The sequence below is a fragment of the Homo sapiens genome, chromosome 12 (assembly GCF_000001405.40).
Source record: "Homo sapiens chromosome 12, GRCh38.p14 Primary Assembly".
In the NCBI taxonomy this organism is placed as follows: Eukaryota; Metazoa; Chordata; class Mammalia; order Primates; family Hominidae; genus Homo; species Homo sapiens.
The window spans coordinates 128,081,706-128,102,176 of NC_000012.12; the positions used below are offsets into that span (position 1 = coordinate 128,081,706).

Genomic DNA, 20,471 nt, shown 5'->3' on the forward strand with positions numbered 1-20,471 from the left:
AAACAAAGCATGGTCATCGGCTGTATCTTGTCAACAGACCAGCAGAGGTGATTCCATTTGACCAGCAACTTCTGCCAGAAAGAACAAATGCAAGGCTGCCAAATTGCAGGTCCTGGTGTAAAACAGGTGCAGCTTGCTACCTGCAAGAGGTTGGAGACATTGGTAAATAAAGTCAAGATAGTGCAATAGGAGGATTGTTTCTTTCCTGGACCGTGACAAGCCCTGACCTCCTGAGAATTAAAGAACAAGGTTAGGGAAGTCTCCCGTTCAACTGAAACAGGCAGTGACATAAGCAACGCGGGAGATGGTAATGCTTATAGAGACACTGTGAGACATTGATACTCCATAGTGATGTTTAGGTAAGTGCTGCAGATTTGCTTAGTGTGAATTTAAATTACACATACGTTCAAATATGCCATGGCCACTAGGGATGAAGATGAGCTCAGTCAGATTTTTTCACACACACACACACACACACACACACACAATAATACTATTGAAACTGCCTTTGCAAAATTATGACTGAGGCAGCGAAAGAGATCTAACTTAACCGACCCCATCTTGCTTCTAACCTCCAAGCTGTCCTTGTTCATTCCCGGGCGTAGGCTGAACTAACTTTGGGAGAAACTTAGTTTATAGTTTAAACAAGGATGGTAACAGTCCTTTCCCAAAGCAGACCTCTTTCTTGCCTGAGGACTAAATTGCCTTTATAGGACTAACATTAGCCACAATATTAGAAATTATGACTTAGGAGTCACGCAGCTGGAGGCTACAAGATTCTGACCCTCCCTAAGCTGCCCCTAAGATCAGGGCTTGAGATGTTTTGCAGACTCTGCACTTGATGGATCAACTGGCACCACCCAGATGGATAAACTGGCCCATATGAACTTGTGGCCCCCACCCAGAAACTGACTCAGTGCAAGAAGACAGCTTCGACTCCCTATGATTTCATCTCTGACCAATCAGCACTCCTGGCTCACTGGCTTCCCCCCACCCACCAAATTATCCTTAAAAACTCTACTCCCTGAATACCTGGGGAGACTGATCTGAGTAATAATACAACTTAGGTCTCCGCACAGCTGGCTCTGCATGAATTACTCTTTCTCTATTGCAATTCCCTGTCTTGACGAATCAGCTCTGTCTAGGCAGCAGCGGGCAAGGTGGATCCCTTGGGTGGTTACACGATAATACAGTGCTATTATGCATTATTATAGATCTATCTAAAATATTACCATATGTAGACGTGCTCTGGTCATAAGATAGTACCTTTATGTTTTATGGAGAATTTCCCTCAATACTCTGTATATACAAGATCACTTGGAGATCGTCCAGAGTCTAAATGTGAAGCCATTTATAAGTGACCTTGTCTGTAATCAATGCTAGGTTCACAAATATGCATAGGTTCCTGGATAAGTCAAACCACAAAAAGGAATATGAAAGAACACCAGGGCTACACAATCCTTTTAGGGCAATCCTACCTGTTGTTATTATCTTTTCCTTGAAACTTTACAGACCAAGATACGTGTTCTCTCACCCATCACCTGCTTCATTGCACCCATAAAGCATTTGATTGCAGGCCAGGCACGGTGCCTCATGCCTGTAATCTGAGGCAGGCTGATCACCTGAGGTCAGGAGTTCCAGACCAGCCTGGCCAAGATGGTGAAGCCCCATCTCTACTAAAAATGTAAAAATTAGCCAGGCATGATGGCACAAGCCTGTAATTCCAGCTACTCAGGAGGCTGAGGCAGGGGAATCACTTGAATCTGGGAGGGGGAGGTTGCAATAACCCGAGATCACGCCACTGCACTACAGCCTGGACAACACAGTGAGACTCAGTATCAAAAAAAAAAAAATTCTATTGCATTTCTAAATGCCTACTCTCAGCTGAGTAAATTCTTTCCTTAGATTGAAAAATCAGAAACAACAAAACTAAAGAAAAAACAACAGAAAAACCGACCTCCGTTGAGGTAAAAAGTTGCTCAGAATTTACAAGTTCGGTTAAATAATCAGACCCCACCCTTCTGTTCCCATTATCTATTTGCAATGCTAAGTTAAACCCTTCAGTGCCCTTTTACCTCAGCTTTCAAAAACCTTAAGGTACTGAGAAAATGGTATTTTTTAACCATATATATATTATATTCCATAGTATATAATATAACATATAATATATTAAATACATTTACTATATAATACATAATATATATTATATAATATATTATATACATTTAATATATAATATATATTATATATTATATAAAATGTATATAATATATAATATATATTATATAATATGTATATAATATATAATATATATTATATAATATGTATATAATATATAATATATATTATATAATATGTATATAATATATAATATGTATTATATAATATGTTATATAATATATAATATATATTATATAACGTTATATAATATATAATATATATTATATAATATATAACGTTATATAATATATAATATATATTATATGATATATATTATATTATATATTATAATGTATAATATAATATATATCATATAATATATAATATATTGTATAATATATTATATAGTATATAATATATTGTATAATATATTATATAGTATATAATATGTTGTATAATATATTATATACTATATAATATATTATATATTATATAGTGTATAATATATTATATACTATATAATATGATATATTATATACTATATAATATATATATTGTATATTATATACTATATTATATAGTATATAATATATTATATACTATATAATATAGTATATAATGTATAATATATATTACATATTATATATAATATAAATACATATTATATATATTACGTATTATATATAATATAAATACATATTATATATATTACATATTATAAATAATATAAATACATATTATATATATTATATATAATATATAATACATAATATATAATATATATTATATAATATATTATTACATAATATATTTTATATAATATATTGTTATATAATATATAATATATAATATGTTGTTATATAATATATAATATATATTGTTATATAATATATGATATATATTGTTATATAATATATATGATATATATTGTCATATAATATATAATATATGATATATATTGTCATATAATATATAATATATGATATATATTGTTATATAATATATAATATATGATATATATTGTTATATAATATATAATATATAATATTATATGTAGTATAATATATATAATATTTTATATAATATATAACGATATATTATATAATATACTATATATTATATAATATATAGTTATATATTATATAAATATATATAAATAATTATATATATAAATATATATAAATATATATAAATATATAAATATATAAATATATATAAATATATACATATATAAATATATATAAATATATATAAATATATACATATATAAATATATATAAATATATATAAACATATACATATATATAAATATGTATAAATATATATAAATATATATAAATATATATAAATATATATAAATATATATAAATATATAAATATATATAAATATATATAAATATATATAAATATATAAATATATATAAATATATATAAATATATAAATATATAAATATATATAAATATATAAATATATATAAATATATATAAATATATAAATATATAAATATATAAATATATTTAAATATATAAATATATAAAAATATATATATAAATACATATAAATACATATATAAATATATATGTAAATATATATAAATACATATATAAATATATATATGAATATATAAATACATATATAAATATATATATGAATATATATAAATACATATATAAATATATATATGAATATATATAAATACATATATAAATATATATAAATACATATATATATAAATATATATAAATACATATATAAATATATATATATATATTTTTTTTTTTTTTTGAGACAGAGTTTTGCACTCTTGCCCAGGCTGGAGTGCAGTGGCGTGATCTCGGCTCACTGCAAGCTCCGCCTCCCGGGTTCACACCATTCTCCTGCCTCAGCCTCCCCAGTAGCTGGGACTACAGGTGCCCGCGACCACGCCCAGCTAGTTTTTTGTATTTTTAGTAGAGACGGGGTTTCACCGTGTTAGCCAGGATGGTCTCGATCTCCTGACCTCATGATCCACCCTCCTCGGCCTCCCAAAGTGCCGGGATTACAGGCGTGAGACACCACGCCTGGCCTAACCTTCTATATTAACCCTAAAGCAACTACGTTTAAAAAATAACAGGTACCTAAATTGGAACACCAATTTCTCTAATCACAGATCAGGTACATAACTTTATGGGAAACATTTCCTTCAAAGCATGACAAGGAAGGCTCGTCTGATCCTGTATTTTATTTGTGAATTTATTTCTTGAGTTAACATGAATCTATGTCAAAGTAAAACTTATATCTGAAAGAATCCAAATCATGAGCAGCTTTCTTTTTATAGTTTTTCCCTTAAGAATAAAAAAGTTGGGCAAAATGCATTTCCAACGACAATCTGCAAACAAGATGACAAGAGTCTGGGTGAATACATTTTTAAACGACTGCCTGGATCAACTGGAATTGTCATTGGTTTCTTTATTTACTGTTATTTCACCATCATCTTTAATAATCTTGTTCAATAATATTTTATAAATAAATATGTAAATGAATCAAGAAGTAAATAGAAAATGTGTCTAGGAGATACTTCATTGGGAAACAAAGCTGATTAAAAGCATTAAGTGTTCATGAATCCATTTTTGTAAGATACCTGAGTGCACCTGTGTGTAGATGATTTGATCAGAAAGAATTGTTTTGCCATGTTAACAAACAAACTCAAAGTTTTAGAGTCAAAAGTGGAAATAAATATCCCTTTTTTACATAGCCAGAGAGACGCAATTCATCACGTTCATATTAATTGTCTTTATCCAAAGCCAGGGCTGGGGAGAATCAGGGGCAGGCAGGAGATTGCATTTTTGTGACAAGCAGGAAGTTACTTCTGGCAGCCATGCACCTAGGTCAGTGCCGTCAGATACAAGGACATAAGCTGACAGCTGTGAATGAATGTTCAGATCCCAAAAAGATGACTGCAACCCCTCCAAGACGCATTCCTAGAGTATTAAAAAAAGAGGCTCACTTGGCCTTTAAAAAGGTTGGCACTCATCTCCAATAGGTAGGAAAATGATTTACAAATACTAGTTTTCTAAAAGAAATCCTGCAAGGGGCAGCGGCGGGGCGGGGGGTGGGGAAATGGGTAGGCATTCTGTTTCCCTCTGGCCACCAAAGAAAGTTTATTTTATTATTATTTCATTGGCATTTATCCTCACAGTGTTTATGTTCTTCCAGGCGTCGTGTCAGTGGAAAGCGATTCATTGATGATGAAGACATTCTGGGAGAATTTAGCGTAGGCCAGTTGGAATTAGCAGACCTCAGTCAACCAGGATCCCCTGTTGGGCAAATTCTGAGCAGGTCCAGCAGGTTGGGGCTCACCCGGTGAGGAAGACTTCCTGGGTGAGGAAGACTCCTCGACGACTCCTTCCAACACTCCCTCTGAAAAGCCTTCCTGACGGGAGCCTGGCTGCCCTAGGAATAAACAAGGGAAGGGAAGGCATTTGAACCCTTTTCCTGGGGTCCTTTAGAACCAGTTCCCCTCAGTCCCGCTCATCATATTCTCCCAATTCTTTTCACCATTCTATTTTACTGTCACCTCCAACAGAATAAATCCTTTTCCATTTTTTTGAGGCAGGAATTGTGACTCTTAATAAATATTTTTTTCTTGTGTTCTGACGATTCACTATTCCTTCCCCAAATTTTAAAAATCAAAGAAACTCCTTTCTCTCTGGTGCAACATTCCTGCCCTGAGTCATAACACAGCATATGGCCAGCTCCTGGGATGAAAAAGGGTCCAGGTGAGATGGGATGAAGGGGTGCAGATGAGAAACCAAACACCTTGCATAGCACACCAGGCTCACTCACGGCCTGGCAACAGCTCAGAGTGGAGGCAGGGCCTTACCAGTGGTGGGCAAATCCCCACTCAGGCTCCTTGGTTCCTGTCTCCTTTCTTCCCTCCCAGAATCATGTAAAATGCTGACTTCTAGGAGAAAGAAAAAGCAAGCCTCATCTTCCATCCTAAAGCAGCTCCTTAAAAACAAAGAAAACACGAGTTATTTCAGCCACCTCCAGTATTTATCATCAAGTGATTTTGTATAATTCTCTCCACTTCGCAAAATCTTCATGCTCTGGAAAGGGCTGCTGGGGATAGAATCTCAGGTCAAGGTGGGGGCGGGGGCACTGAGCAAATGACCCTGACGCCTTCTTTGGATCTGCTGTTCTATGATTTTAGTAAATTGGAGTGAGGGTCCTCCGCCTCCCACTCACAACTCCTGCTCAGTTTCTTGGTTGCTTATTGGTTTTAGTTAAAATTCTTCCCCAGTCCATCTGATGTGGTTAGGCTTTGTGTCCCCACCCAAATCTCATCTTGAATTGTAATCCCCAGGTTTTGTGGGAGAGACCTGGTGGGAGATGATATGATCATGGGAGCGGTTTCCCCCATGGTGTTCTTGTGATAGTGAGTGAGTTCTCACAAGATCTGATGGTTTTATACGTGTTTGACAGTTCCTCCTTCATGTATTTACTCTCTCTCTCTCTCTCTCCTGCTGCCATGTAAGATGTGCCTGCTTCCTCTTCTTCCATGATTGTAAGTTTCCTGTGGCCTCCCCAGCCATGCAGAACTGTAAGTCCATTAAACCTCCTTTGTTTATAAATTACCCAATCTTGGATAGTATCTTTATAGCAGTGGAAGAACAGACTAATACACCATCCAATGGAGCAATGTTACACTCAACCAAACATAAATTAAGTATTTACAGCTCAATTGGAGAGAGAACTTAGAACAAGAAATACTTAATTTCATTAATGCTCAGTCCTCTGCCCTGGGGAGTGGGATGAGACATCTACATTTGGCTGCAGTTTCTGGGGCCTCTCCTGCTGGTAGCATCTCTCTCTGTATTGTGTTATTCTAATATTTAAAGATTTGTATTTTTCATAGAGCATGTGCCCTAAACCTGTGCCTACAACATTAGCAGCTGTGCATCTTCCTGAGAAGGATAACTCCTCTGCTGTGTTGATTCAGTTTTATTCAGTTATTTTGACCATCTCAGTTTCTCCCTCTGTGTTGTTTGTAGAATCCAAGCCCAACATCCACTGTGACTCTAGTGATGCTTCCTCTTCATCCAAGATTCTCTGTCCATTGACCCCACCAGGAATGAAGTGTCCCTGAGGTCACTGTGAGATACATCAGAGTCACTTGTGTTACTTTCTTTCCCATTCCTGCAGATGCTGCATTTGCTTCTAAAGTGGAAACCCAGCCAGGGCAATGTTGAAGGCAGGCAGCTGCCAATGGTGGGATGCCAGGCATCTGAGCATAAACCTGAGCCCAGAAGGATGGGGATGGCCTGCCAGGACAATCAACTGCAGAAGACAGGGCTTCCTGGTCAGTCAAACAGTGGCAACTCTTCCTCCTTTTCCCAAAGCTCTTGGAAAGCCATAAACTCCCTGGGGAAGTAGTTTTGAATGTTCATTAAACTGGGAGGGGTTTACATTAAAAAACAATTTAAGGAATCTCGTCTAAAACCCAAAAGTCCTCTGAAGAGTCTTCTGCGGGCTCATCAAAAACCACACAATTGGCCAGGCACAGGCCTCTCATCCCAGCATTCTGGGAGGTCAAGGCAGGTGGATAGTTTGAGGCCAGGAGTTCAAGACCAGCCTGGAGAACAAGGTGAAATCCAGTCTCTACAACAAAATACAAAAATTAGCTGAGTGTGGTGGCTCACAAGTAGTCCCAGCTACTCAGGAGGCTGAAGTGGGAGGATCGTTTGAGCCAGGAGTTCAAGGCTGCAGTGAGCTGTGATTGCACCACTGCACTTTAGCCTGGGCAACAGACCAAGAACCTGTGGAAAAAAAGAAAAAAAGAAGCTACACAATCAGCATAATATAAATGTTGGAGTCACGTGGAATGGCTGTGCTCCTCAGGCCTTTGCCTTGGGTGCCAGAAGCTGAGGGGATGGAGGTTCCGTGTGAATGTGGGCATGGTGGAGGGAGGGCTGAATCCACACTGGAGTGGGGAACCTGGGTATGGGGGGCTCTAGATGAGGGGATGGTGAAGGTGGTGGCCAACACTTGTTGTGTCAACTGCAGTCAACCCTTCCTTCTCTCCAGATTCCATGCTCAGCAGCCGCATGTGGACACTTTCCATGAACATCCACATTTTGGACTGCCTCCCTTTGTTGGGACCTCACTGCCCTGGCTTCCTGTGCTGCTGGGGTGGTCAAGGGACCTAAGGGTATAAACTGGACAGTTGCCAGGAATCTTCTGGGAGAGGACTCCAGGGAACAGGGAAACCTATGGGTTCTCCCCCATGTCCTTTCTCTATGTGGTTCAGTTATGGGGAGGGGACTCTTCTGCCCCCTTGTGACCATGAGGCACCAGCCGTGAAGATGAAGCGCCCATCCCCAGGGCCTCGAGAGAGTGGAAAAGGGGACAGTGGTTGGTAAGGATGATAAGGATGTAAGGTGACACAAGGGGGATTTTATTTTAATTCTTTTTTTTTTTTTTGAGACGAAGTCTCGCACTCTCGCCCAGGCTGGAGTGCAGTGGCACTATCTTGGCTCACTGCAAGCTCCGTCTCCTGAGTTCACACCATTCTCCTCCCTCAGCCTCCTGAGTAGCTGAGACTACAGGCGCCCACCACCACACCTGGCTAATTTTTTGTATTTTAAGTGGAGACGGGGTTTCACCATGTTAGTCAGGATGGTCTCGATCTCCTGGCTTTGTGATCCGCCCGTCTCAGCCTCCCAAAGTGCTGGGATTACAGGCATGAGCCACCACGCCCGGCTCAATCCTTTCTTTTAACAAGACAAATAGTTCATGTTAGTGCCAAACCACTAGGAAATACTGATTAAAAGAAAGGGAGAAAAAAAAATTACCCATCCTTTGTAGTTCACAATGTTCCTATTGTTTCTCTCTGTCTCTCTCTCTTTTTCTCTCTCTTTCTCTCTCTCTCGAGACAGCATCTCCCTCTGTCGCCCAGGATGGGGTGCAGTGGCGTGATCATAGCTCACTGTGCTTCAGCCTCCCAGCTCAAGCAATCCTCCTACCTCAGCCGCCTGACCATAGTCACACACCACCATGCCCAGCTAATTTTTTAAATTTTTTTGTAGAGACAGGATCTCACTATGTTGCCCAGGCTGGTTTTGAACCCCTGCTCTCAAGAAATCCTCCCACCTCAGCCTCCCAAAGTGCTCGAATTACAGGCGTGAGCCATCAAGACAGAAGCCAAGCGTGTTTCTCTCTCAATCCTTCAGATTTTATTTCTTACTAATTTTCTTCCCCAGCACAGAATCAGGGAACACACTCAGTTTTCACTCTCTCTCTCTCTTCCGTCTCTCCTAGCTCTCCAATTCCCAAATTAGAAAAACCATCAGCTCTGAATGGCCTCAAGAGCTTAACTTCTAAGGCCTCCCCTGGGGCTGGCCTCCCATGCGTTGCACTTGTCCTGGTGGTTGCAGATACCAAGTTGCCTCATTGCCATTGAAGGGATGAACACACAGAGCACTCCGATGTTATTGCTTCTTAGGAGCCCGGATGGAGCCGGCTCGTGTACACTCACAGAAAGTCACTTATTTGCTTATCGCTTCTTGAGTCTCAAGCACAATCTCTTTGGAGGATTGATGGGCTGATGGGGCAACAATTCAATGCCAAGATAATCCAGCCACAATAACAAGCAAGCCTTCAGAAGCACTGAAATAATTGCATGGTCTAAGAGTTGGCTCCAAACAGTGATTAACGCAGGAGCGGCAGCCTTTTCAGAGACCCTCACTGGCCGCACAAAAGAATCAGGCTCTGTGCTGATAAAGGAGCATTTCCAGCCAGTGCAGCTGATAATTAAGTGGCCTTGTCAGAAGGCTTCGATGTTTACCGATGCGGTGGGAAGATGTGAGTGAAAACATACATTTAAAAGGAGAGGAAAAGAATATTAAGAATTGCCTTTAAAACCACTTTGATGTCAACAAACTTAAAAACATGCTGCAAAAATAAGACACACAATCCTTTACTGAAGGCATCATTATAAAAATGTGGCTGAGCTTGACAGAAGCCTGAAGGGTACTTTTGTGGGATTTCTAATGCTTATGTACATGCACTATTGAATTTTTAGGTATGTAAATCGTGGCTTAGTGAGGATGGAGGTTGTTTATTTAACAAAGGGACAGACAGGGCTCAAATGCACTTAGAATGAAGAGACTCAGGCTTGGCCAGGAAGCCTCCATGTCCACAGCGAAATTGCTTTGCCATTAGACCAGATTGAGCCAGTGATAAGCAAAGTTAATGCACCACGTCATCCTCTTCACAGCGAATAACGCTCAGCATGCCTGGAATCATCTCCTTGTTTATTACAAGCCATGCAACCCTTATCAGCACCCGCATTTATGCACATCGTGATTATTAAACAGCAAACAACAGATTATGATTCCAGTGTCTGATCAGGTGAATGTGGGTATCCATCAGCAGCCGCCAAGTTATCTGCAGAGGGGCAGTGCCGTCCCTCAGAGCTCCAGCTTCGATACAGAGTTTCCTGTGCTCAGATCCTAGCTGGGCAGCTACTAGCTGTGCAAACTTGAGCAAGTTCCTTTCTCCCTCCCCGTGTCAATTTCATCTGCAGTATGAGGATGATAGGGTGGAAGACTGAATATAAAAATGGACAATGGCAGGACCATATATGACATTAGAATGCTGACCCACTTCCTCTGCAAAGACCAGCCCAGGAAAGCAAGCTACAGTTTCTGCAATCAGTGCAGAAGAGTCAGGACTTGGTAATGTTTGCCCTCACTTTCTACTCAAGATCAACCAGAGGCAGCCAAATATGGGCCCCAGAATAATCCTGGAATATGTGCTGCTTCTAGTTATCCCACACAGCCTCCAATCTGGGCACACAGGAAGTCTTGCTTTTTTTTCTCTATAAATCTTTCCCTCTCGTCTCCCTGCCTTTGAATCTCTGCCCAGCATGAACCATGGTGGCTGACTCCCTTGTTTTAGAAAGATCTGGATAAAGGGCCTGTGTCTGTTCTCATTTGGTCTTTGTCTACTTCCACATAGTAATAGTACTTATTTTAATGTTGTGAAAATTTGATTAGTTAGTAAACATAAAGGGCTTAGAGCTGTGCCCAGAACTTTGCAGGTGTTGGCTACTCATATTGTTAGAGTCTCCTAAGCCCTAGACCAGGGGTGCCCAATCTTTTGGCTTCTCTGGGCAATAATGGTAGAAGAAGAATTGTTTTGGGCCACACATAACATACACTAACACCGACAATAGCCAATGAGCTAAAAAACAAATCTCAAAAAAATGTCATAATGTTTTAAGAAAGTTTACGAATTTGTGTTGGGCCATGTGTTGGATAAGCTTGCCCTAGACTCTTTAACCATGTTAGTAAGAACTGAAGGCACCTCTGCTTTCCTCCCTGTTCCATACTCTCCTGAGGCAATGAACAGACAGCTGTGTTTCTGCTGGGATGAGGAGAAGGAAAATAGGCAATAAAACAATAACTAAAACAATAACTAAACAATAACTTAAAATAACAATAACTTAAAACTTAATAACAATAACTTAAAGTTATTGCCCAGAGTATAATTTTAGTCATATACATGAAAACAACCTGAAGCCATTTCTATTCAGGAGAGGGTTGACCATTTGGGACAGTCAACTGCAGAAGATGGCTCTGCCTGGTGAATCAACAGTGATAAGGTTTCCTCTTTTTCCCAAAGTTCTTGGAAAGCCAGAAACTCTCTGGGGAATTAGCTTTGAATGTTCATTTCTCCAGGAGGGGTGTTCTCAAGGTTAAAAAAATATTAAGAAATCTCCTCTAAAACCCAAAGTTCTTCTGATAATATAGCCTGTGTTGTGGGCCATATTATCACCCACAAAACCCAACCTCATGGGAAAGAGTCTCACAGGGCCTGCCTGCTTTTGTACAGATGGAAAAGGGGTGACATGCTTCTGTTGGGGGTGCACAGAGGGACTGAGCAGTTCTTTGGGGACTCTTTGGCTGTTATCATTCAGCTTTCTCCAGAATCAGCCAGGCCTAGGAGACTGCTAGGCATGTATATAAATAGATAGCCCCAAATGGATACTTTGGCCCAAGAGATGATAAATTGAGTTGCTCTCCTCTGTGAAAACCAGAAATGGAAAGAAATGAAGCAAAAGCCCAGAGCAACATCATAGCACAGGAGTCTGGATGGCATGCAGAGTTTGTGCTCATTTGAGAGGTGGGAGTGGGGGCAGGGGGTGTCCTTAGTTCTCTATGCAGAGATAAGAACTAGGGTTTGTATCTCTACAGTTGCGCAGAAGATATTAAGCCTTCCTTTCTAATAACATCATGATCATGCAAACCTGCAATTTTTTTCTATTAACTTGCATGTTCTTTGATATTTTAGGTTAAAAAAAAAGTATATACATGTCACATTTTGAATCTATTCATCCATAAGATAACTTTTTTTTTTTTTAAGACAGGATTTTACTCCCAACAGCCAGGTTGGAGTACAATGGCCCAATCTTAGCTCCCTGCAACCTCCCCTTCCTGGGCTCAAGCAGTTTTCCTGCCTTAGCCTCTCAAGTAGCTGGTACTACAGGTGCATGCCACCACGCCTAGCTAATTTTCTGTACTTTTTGTAGAGACAGAGTTTTGCCATGTTAGCCAGGCTGGCTCCGAATTCCTGAGCTCAAGTGGTCCGCCTGCCTTGGCCTCCCAAAGTGCTGGGATTACAGGCATAAGCCACCATGCCTGGCCATATGACATCATTTTTTAATAGGTAATACATTATTAAAGGAAATATCTATTTAAAGTCTTGCCATTGTAGGTAAAAGAAAAAATAATCAGTTGAGCTGGTTCCAGAGAATCCCTGAAAAGTCAAGCAAAAGAAGGCTTTCCCCTTAGCGAACAGCTGAAAAAATACTTTCCAAGAGTTTGATAAGAAATTCTCTGACAACGTAGATGCCAGATCAATTTTTGATTAGGAGTATGTTGTGTAAGTGCCTACTCTGTTCCAACCCAGTGCTGGGATCCCCTGGCTAAAACCCAATGGAGATGATCACCTTGAGACATAACACTGCCAAGTGCCTCCCCACCACTGCGTCTGTTTGCAGTATCAGCAAGGGATAATTATTGAAAGGTTTCTGGTGGTCCCAGCATCCCTTAATTATCCCACTGATCACTTTTTGGAACTGATAGGAGAAAACGTTAGGAAGCAATTGGTGTGCTGGCCAAAAGAATCAGAGTCAGCAACTGAACTGAAAGAGTCTCCATTACTTAGAAACCAAAGCCTTGGTTCCAATTCTGTTTTTGGTCTTTATAACAGTTAAGGTAAAATGAGACAATAAAACAATCAAAACCAGATATAGATATAGATATAGATATAGATATAGATATAGATATATAGATATGGTGGGAAGTTTATTTCCCACTCAGAAATTTCAAAGCCAATGCCCTTGGTGAGTGGCTTTTCTCCAGGGGATGTTTAGGCTCTCCCATCTTTGGCTCCTTCATTCTAACATATGGCTTCTGAGGTTCCAGTGCTGCTGGGCACTGAGCAGGTGGGGGAGGATGGAACATGCAGGATTATGGATGGGAGCTTCACACAGGTTGGTCTAGGAAGGCAGTGCCATCATGTTTGCTCCCCTGCCACTGGCTGGAAGCCAGTCCCATGACCACAGTGAACTTCCTGGGGGCTGGAAATAAAACATAACCAGGAAGGAAAGCAAGTGGGTTTGGGGAACAAGGATCCAGTCTCCTCTTCCATCTTTAGGAATCCATGCAGATTGCAGATTTAGCTAGGCGTAGTGGCACACTCCTTTAGTCCCAGCTACTCGGGAGGCTGAGGCAGGACAATTGCTTGAACCCGGGAGTTGGAGGTTGCAGTGAGCCAAGATCACGCCACTGCACTCCAGCCTGGCAACAGAGTGAGACTCTGTCTCAAAAAAAAAAAAAAAAAAAAAAGAATCCACGCAAATACCAGTATCAAAATATCTCGTGTACTCCATAAATATACATGCTTACTATGTACCCCCAAAAAATTAAGAATTAAAAAATTAATAATAATAATAATACAGAATCCATCAGAGAGGCTTCCGGTGTAACTAGGGAAGTGTTGTAAACTTCCAAAGACACAAAGGGTTAGGGCACAAACATCTTCTGCCTGTTTTCTTCCAGAACTAAAGCAATTTGACATGACATGAGAAAGGCTTAATTCATTCATCCATAATTTTAAAAATAAAATGCTCCATGTATCAAAATATATAAATGCCACAAAGTGGATGCCAATATGTAGAATACAAAATAGGCACTTTTTCCCCAACATGAAAGAGAATTGCAAAAATAGAACACAACAAAAACATAGGAGTTGATGGTTTATATACAAGTATATTTCAGACAGAAAATTTGCTCTCACTTTTATTTCATAGATATGAAAATCAGCAGGCTTTAGATTAGACAATCTTCATTGAAACCATTTGCACCACCAAAGACACAAAAGGAAAGCAACATTCTTAAGAACTCACTTGCCACTAGTGGGAAGTCACAGAGCTTACACACGTATTTGCATGGCCGGGCTAATGCCATATAATTGTAATATAATAGTGAAAATATTAAACATGGTATCATCCATCATCTCACCTGCAATAGAGCTTTAATTGAACAAAAACCCCACGAGATAGGTACTATGAAGTATTTCTCTTTTACAGATATGAAAATTTAATCACTCAAGATGTGCTTTGCATGCGTTGTTGTGGAGGTTTGTCTTAAAACATCCTCAGTCATAGTGAGGTGCTGGTTAATGCTAAACCAGGGAGAAAGATAGAGCTGGCCTGCGTTTCAGGCATAAAACTCTTAGCATGTTGTGTAGAATTTCAGTTAATGGGAGAGAAACAAAATGTAGTTGCTCACGATTCTATCCACAAATTTCTAGCCCAGGATAGGCACAGCACCTCGTCCTCCCATTGACATGTCTAAGACGAAGGATAAAGAGGCAGAAGGAGGGGAGAGGGTGCACAGGTTTGATTCAAGGTGCAGGGATTCTGCAGTTGAAGGATGGATGTTCTAACGCCTCTTGAGGGCTCAAGGCAGAGCATGGGGGTGGTTTTTAAGTGCTTTGAAGTCTTGTGTGGTTGACAGTTGCAGCTCACGTATAGCAGAGACACTGCCTTCACGCTGGGAGAGCCTCCTGTTGCATTTTGGAAGCCCAGGTTCAATCACCATCCAACAGCTATGATGAGTCTCCATTTCTAAGATGCACATCGTGGTGCTGAGGGTCCCTTGTACAGAAAGTGGGAGGAAAGTGAAGCCAAAGATATTCAAATATAAAGCTCTTTCCTTTAAAAATGTATTACCTGTAAAAAAAAAAAAAATATATATATATGGTGTTGGCTGGGCACTGTGGCTCACAACTGTAATCCCAGTACTTTGGGAGGCCAAGGAGGGCAAATCACCTGAGGTCAGGAGATCGAGACTAGCCTGACCAACATAGTGAAACCGTGTCTCTTCTAAAATACAAAAATTAGCCGGGCGTGGTGGCAGGTGCCTATAATCCCAGCTACTAGGGAGGCTGAGGCAGGAGAATCACTTAAGGCCAGGAGGCAGAGGTTGCAATGAACTGAGATTGCGCCACTGCACTCCAGCCTGGGTGACAGAGCAAGACTCCATTTCAGGAAAATAAAAAGAAAAAGGTGTCATATGGATGAATAAATTTAAAATATGATATGTATACACGATATATACATGCAATATGATACAGCCTTTAAAAAAAGGAATTATGTCACTTGTAACAACATGGATGGATGGAAAGAGCATTATTTTAAGTGACATTAAGACAGGCACAGAAAAACAAATACTGCTTCACTTACATGTGTAATCTGAAAAAGTCGATCTCATAAAGAGAGAGAAGGAAGGTGGTTGCCGGAGGCTGGGGGCAGGGCAGGAATGAAGAAAGGAGAGATGCTGATCTAAGGGTATGAGTTTCGGTTAGACTGGAAGAATGGATTTAATGATCTATCACATTGCATGATGACCACAGGTAATAATCATACATATTTCAAAATTGTTAAAATAATAAATTTTCAATGTTCTCACCACAAAAAATTATAAGTTGATAATGTGATAGATATGTTCATGGGTTTGATTGAATCTTTCTACAATACATACATAGATCAAACTTCACTTTGTACTCCATGACACATACAATTATTAGTTTTCAATTAAATCCATTAGTCAATAAAATAGGATGTCAGGATAGTATACAGTACAAAAAATACTTGATAAGGTGATTGATAAGGTGATATATTGATTGATCATAAATTCTTCTGGTTGCCTTTTTGCAAATTCACTTATTAGATCGTCAAAATTTATACTTTTGGCAATTTCATTTTCCGTCTATGTAATTGAAAGAGATGTCGGTTGCTTTTGGAAAATGCAAATGATTTTTGATAATTTTTAATTTTGAGAAGGATCTTTCTGCTGATGCAGCCGTTACTGGAGCAATTAAGAATACTTTATAGGCTGCAACAAATTTGAGATACATTTCTGGAAAATTATTGTGAAATATATGTTTTAGTCCACCATGAGCTGATGATACTTGCAGAATGATTTTTCTAAAAATATTTAAATATTTATATACGTCGATTTTGTGTCAGTCTGGATTGAATTTTAAGTGAGAATTAACACAATGGCATTTTAACATTTCCTTAGACATCTCCTGTACCTTACAGGGGTCTTTAAAAAAGTGGAAAGTGGCTTCATGATTTGTTTATGATTCAAAACATGTTCTACTGCTCCATTATCAGTTAAGAAAACTTTATTTTAAATTATTTCTTTGTTAATGACTGGTTCATCCAAAGCTTCATATGAAAATAGAGTTATTTCCCACTGAATGCAATGATCTTTCAATTCAATGTCTATATCTAACCTGTGGATATTTGCTTTGCAATGTTGCAACAGTTTTCAAAACAAGAGGTTCTAACTCAGAAGCCTCCTCTAACTCCATTATATGCTTTGGTAAAATTTCCATGCGAATGCTTTTATTTGGTAATAACTACTGACGAGTTTCTATCTTTGTACAGATGTCACAGAAATGGACTCTGTGGGCTGACAGGCCAGCCGGCCGCCCACGGCTTGTCCACGTGCTGCTCACATGAGCCCTTTCTCTCTCCTGGGCAGCTGCTGCCTTCACCACTGTTGATCTTTCTGCTGCTGCTCCATCTGCCAATCTGGGCCCAGGTCCTGGCCCTGCTGCCCTGTTGGGGCCTCCAGGAGCCCCAGCATGTGTGTGTGGGCAAGGTAGCCCAGCCAACTGCCCGGCACCCCTGCTGCCCACTGCTGTAATCCAAACAACACAGCTATTTCCTTGGCTCATTTTTCTTCTAGCATTTGTTCAACGTATCCCAGAAACCCAAAGAGTAATCTCCTTTTTCCCTTCTCCTTATTGGCACGCATGTCATTGGTGGCCTCTGTGCATTCCAGAAAGTCTGGAAATGGTTCAGGAAGAAAAATACAACTCAAAATGTCACAGAACCTTTTCTCAGGTAATGACAAGGAGACTCAGAAAGCTGTCTTTTCCTTTTACAATTTTTAAGTGTGATGACAGCTGTAAAAGAACCTATAAATGAATGGAATAAAGGTTAAATTAAGCACCTGGTCTCCACCCCATTATATCAACCTGGCATCATTACTACCTGTAAAAGTCCCTGTGACATCCCATTGTGATGTGGCTCAGGGTGAAGAGAATTTTATGTGTAGGGGGAGAAAAGCCTGTTTTGACAACCAAGACATCACGACCTTTCGTTCACAAATAATACTGTTGATTGAAGCTACCCATGATGGCTCCCTTCATGACCCCAACCATGATGCAGCTCCTTTTGTAAAATGCCAAACCCCATTTGCACTGAAGCTGTGATTCTGAGGTTAAAACAGCATGGGCTCTTTGCTCTGGAGAACATCATTCCACGAAACTAATTTTTTTTTTCGTTGCTCACTATGCAAACTCTTAAGATGGAGAATTGCTCACACGGAACATGGCACTATCTCCTCGCCTCTGAATATGAATGCGAGATAGTCTAAGCCATTCCATCACACTGTCCGAATAAGCTGCAGTCTTTTCCCTCTAGGTACAAAGAGGGGAGTTCAGGAATATTGTAAAATGCCTTTCAATCTTGTTTTAAACTCAGGGCCCTGTCTGCTCTAAGCAATTTTTGAAAGGAGGCACTGTCTACACTGCAACTCTTGGAGCCCCAACACTTCCCAGGAACTTTTTTGTTTCTGTACCTTTTTCCATTTATTTCATCCAAAACCATGCTTTGAGCCAGGCACAGAGCTGTTTGATTTAAAAACAAAAATTAAACATTGTCTGTCTCCTGCCATCATAAAATTCACAGTCAATCTGGGAGACAATCAGCTAAAACTTTGATAGTAATACAAATTCAGGGATACCCCTGAAGGAAAGAAGACTACAGTGACAGGTAAGTTTTGATTAGTTATCAGAGTATGTTAACAAAGACTTATTGATGTGATTGTGTTACGTATCTATTGCTGTATAAAAAAATTACTCCAAGCTGGGCACAGTGGCTCACACCTGTAGTTCCAACACTTTTGTAGGCCAAAGCAGGAGGATCACTGGAGCACAGGAGTTGGAAAATAGCCTGGGCCACATAGTGAGACCCCATCTCTACAAAAAAAATTATCTCAGTGTGGTGGTACATGCCTGTAATCCCAGCTACTTGGGAAGCCGAGGAGACAGGAGGATTGCCTGAGCCCAGGAGTTGGAGACTGCAATGAGCTATGATTAGCATGGGAAGCAATGAGACCCCATCTCAATAAAAAAGTACCCCAAAAATTGGCAGCCCAAAACAACACACAGTTTTTTTTTGTTTTTTTTTTTGAGACAGAGTCTCATCCTGAAGCTCAGGCTGGAGTGCAGTGGTGTGATCTCAGCTCAGACACCAAAAGAGCTGGGTCTACAGGCATGTACCACCAAGCCTGGCTAATTTTTGTATCTTTAGTATAGATGAGGTTTCACCACATTGGCCAGGCTGGTCTTGAACTCCTGACCTCAAATGATGTGCCCACCTTGGCCTCCAAAGTGCTGGAATTGCATGCATGAGCCACCGTACCTGGCCACAACACACAATTTCTGATGGCTAAGAATCTAGGGGCAGCAGAGCTGGGTGGGCTGGCAGAGGGTATCTCGTAAGGTTCAGTCAAGCTGTTATGGAGGCTGCATCATCTGAAGGCTTGAATGGGGCTGGTTTACTCATGTGGCTGGCAGTCTCGGCCCCTCCCCATGTTGGCCTCTCTGTAGGGTGGCCCGGGCATCATGGCAGCTGCTTCCCCAGAGTGATGAGAGAGAGAGAGAGAGAAAAACCAAGATAGACATCTTTCATGACCAAATCTCAGCAGGGACAGCCCAGCATTCCTGCCGTATGATATTCCTCACACAGATCTGCCGTGGCCCAGTATGGCAGTCATCTACATGGGAGGTGACACTGAGGACAGGGACACTGGGGACCATCCTGCTGACTGCCTACCCCAGGGACCTCCTTGAGAACACGAGCTCAAGCACATATTCTAGTTAACTGTGATATTAATGAAAAGTTTAGAAAATGTCAACACGGGGAAAGTTGAGGTCTAAAAAGCCTGGATGCCTTCTTTAAAATCAGTTACTCTGCTGGATACATCCCTTTAATCCCTGCAGATTGCTCTCCTTCTTCTCCACCTGGTCTCTACCTGGAGAAGGAACCCAGTGTAGCCACCACCAAGGCATGGGGTGCTTTCTGGCACTCAGTTGGGGTGGACCAGTGGAGAACCCTAGGGGAAGAGTATGGATTCCTGGCTCCATCTCTGCATGGTCACTACAGGCTAGCTGGGACCCACCCCCAATTCGCCACTCTTCTCAAGCTGTCCCTCCACCCAGCTGTCTCTCTAGCAGCAACTCCCTACTCTCACCCCTTCACCCTTCACTCACTCACTTCAGAACTACACCATCACGCATGCATCTCCTAATAGATTTAATGAGCTGGCACTCATAGACCATACAATTCACCCACTTAAATATACAATGCAGTGGTTTTGACTGTATTCACAGATGTGTGCAACTATCACCACAATCAACTTTTAGACACTTTTGTTACCCCAAAAATAAATCACACACCTGTGCCCTGCCACCCTCCAATCTATCACCCTGAGCGACCACTGATCTACCTACTGCCTTATTAGATCTGCCTGTTCTGGACATCTAATGAAGTGGAATCACACAAAATTCCCCACACATTGTTAAATTGGTTCTTTATTAAATTAGAAAGCCAGCCAATCTGTCGTGCTACCTCTTTTATCCTGGGACCTTAACTGACATCGCTACAGATTAAGTCAAA

General features: G+C 40.0%; 1 long non-coding RNA gene across 1 annotated transcript in view; it reads right to left on the reverse strand.

Annotated features, from left to right (window-relative positions):
• Positions 1-5,276: 5,276 nt before the first annotated feature.
• Positions 5,277-20,471, reverse strand: part of LINC02369 (long intergenic non-protein coding RNA 2369) — a 31,160-nt gene continuing 15,965 nt past the window's right edge. The window contains exons 4-5 of the long non-coding RNA NR_104647.1: positions 6,024-6,151; positions 5,277-5,593 (exon numbers count right to left, since the gene is read on the reverse strand). This is a non-coding gene — a long non-coding RNA (long intergenic non-protein coding RNA 2369). The remainder of the gene's footprint in view (positions 5,594-6,023; positions 6,152-20,471) is intronic.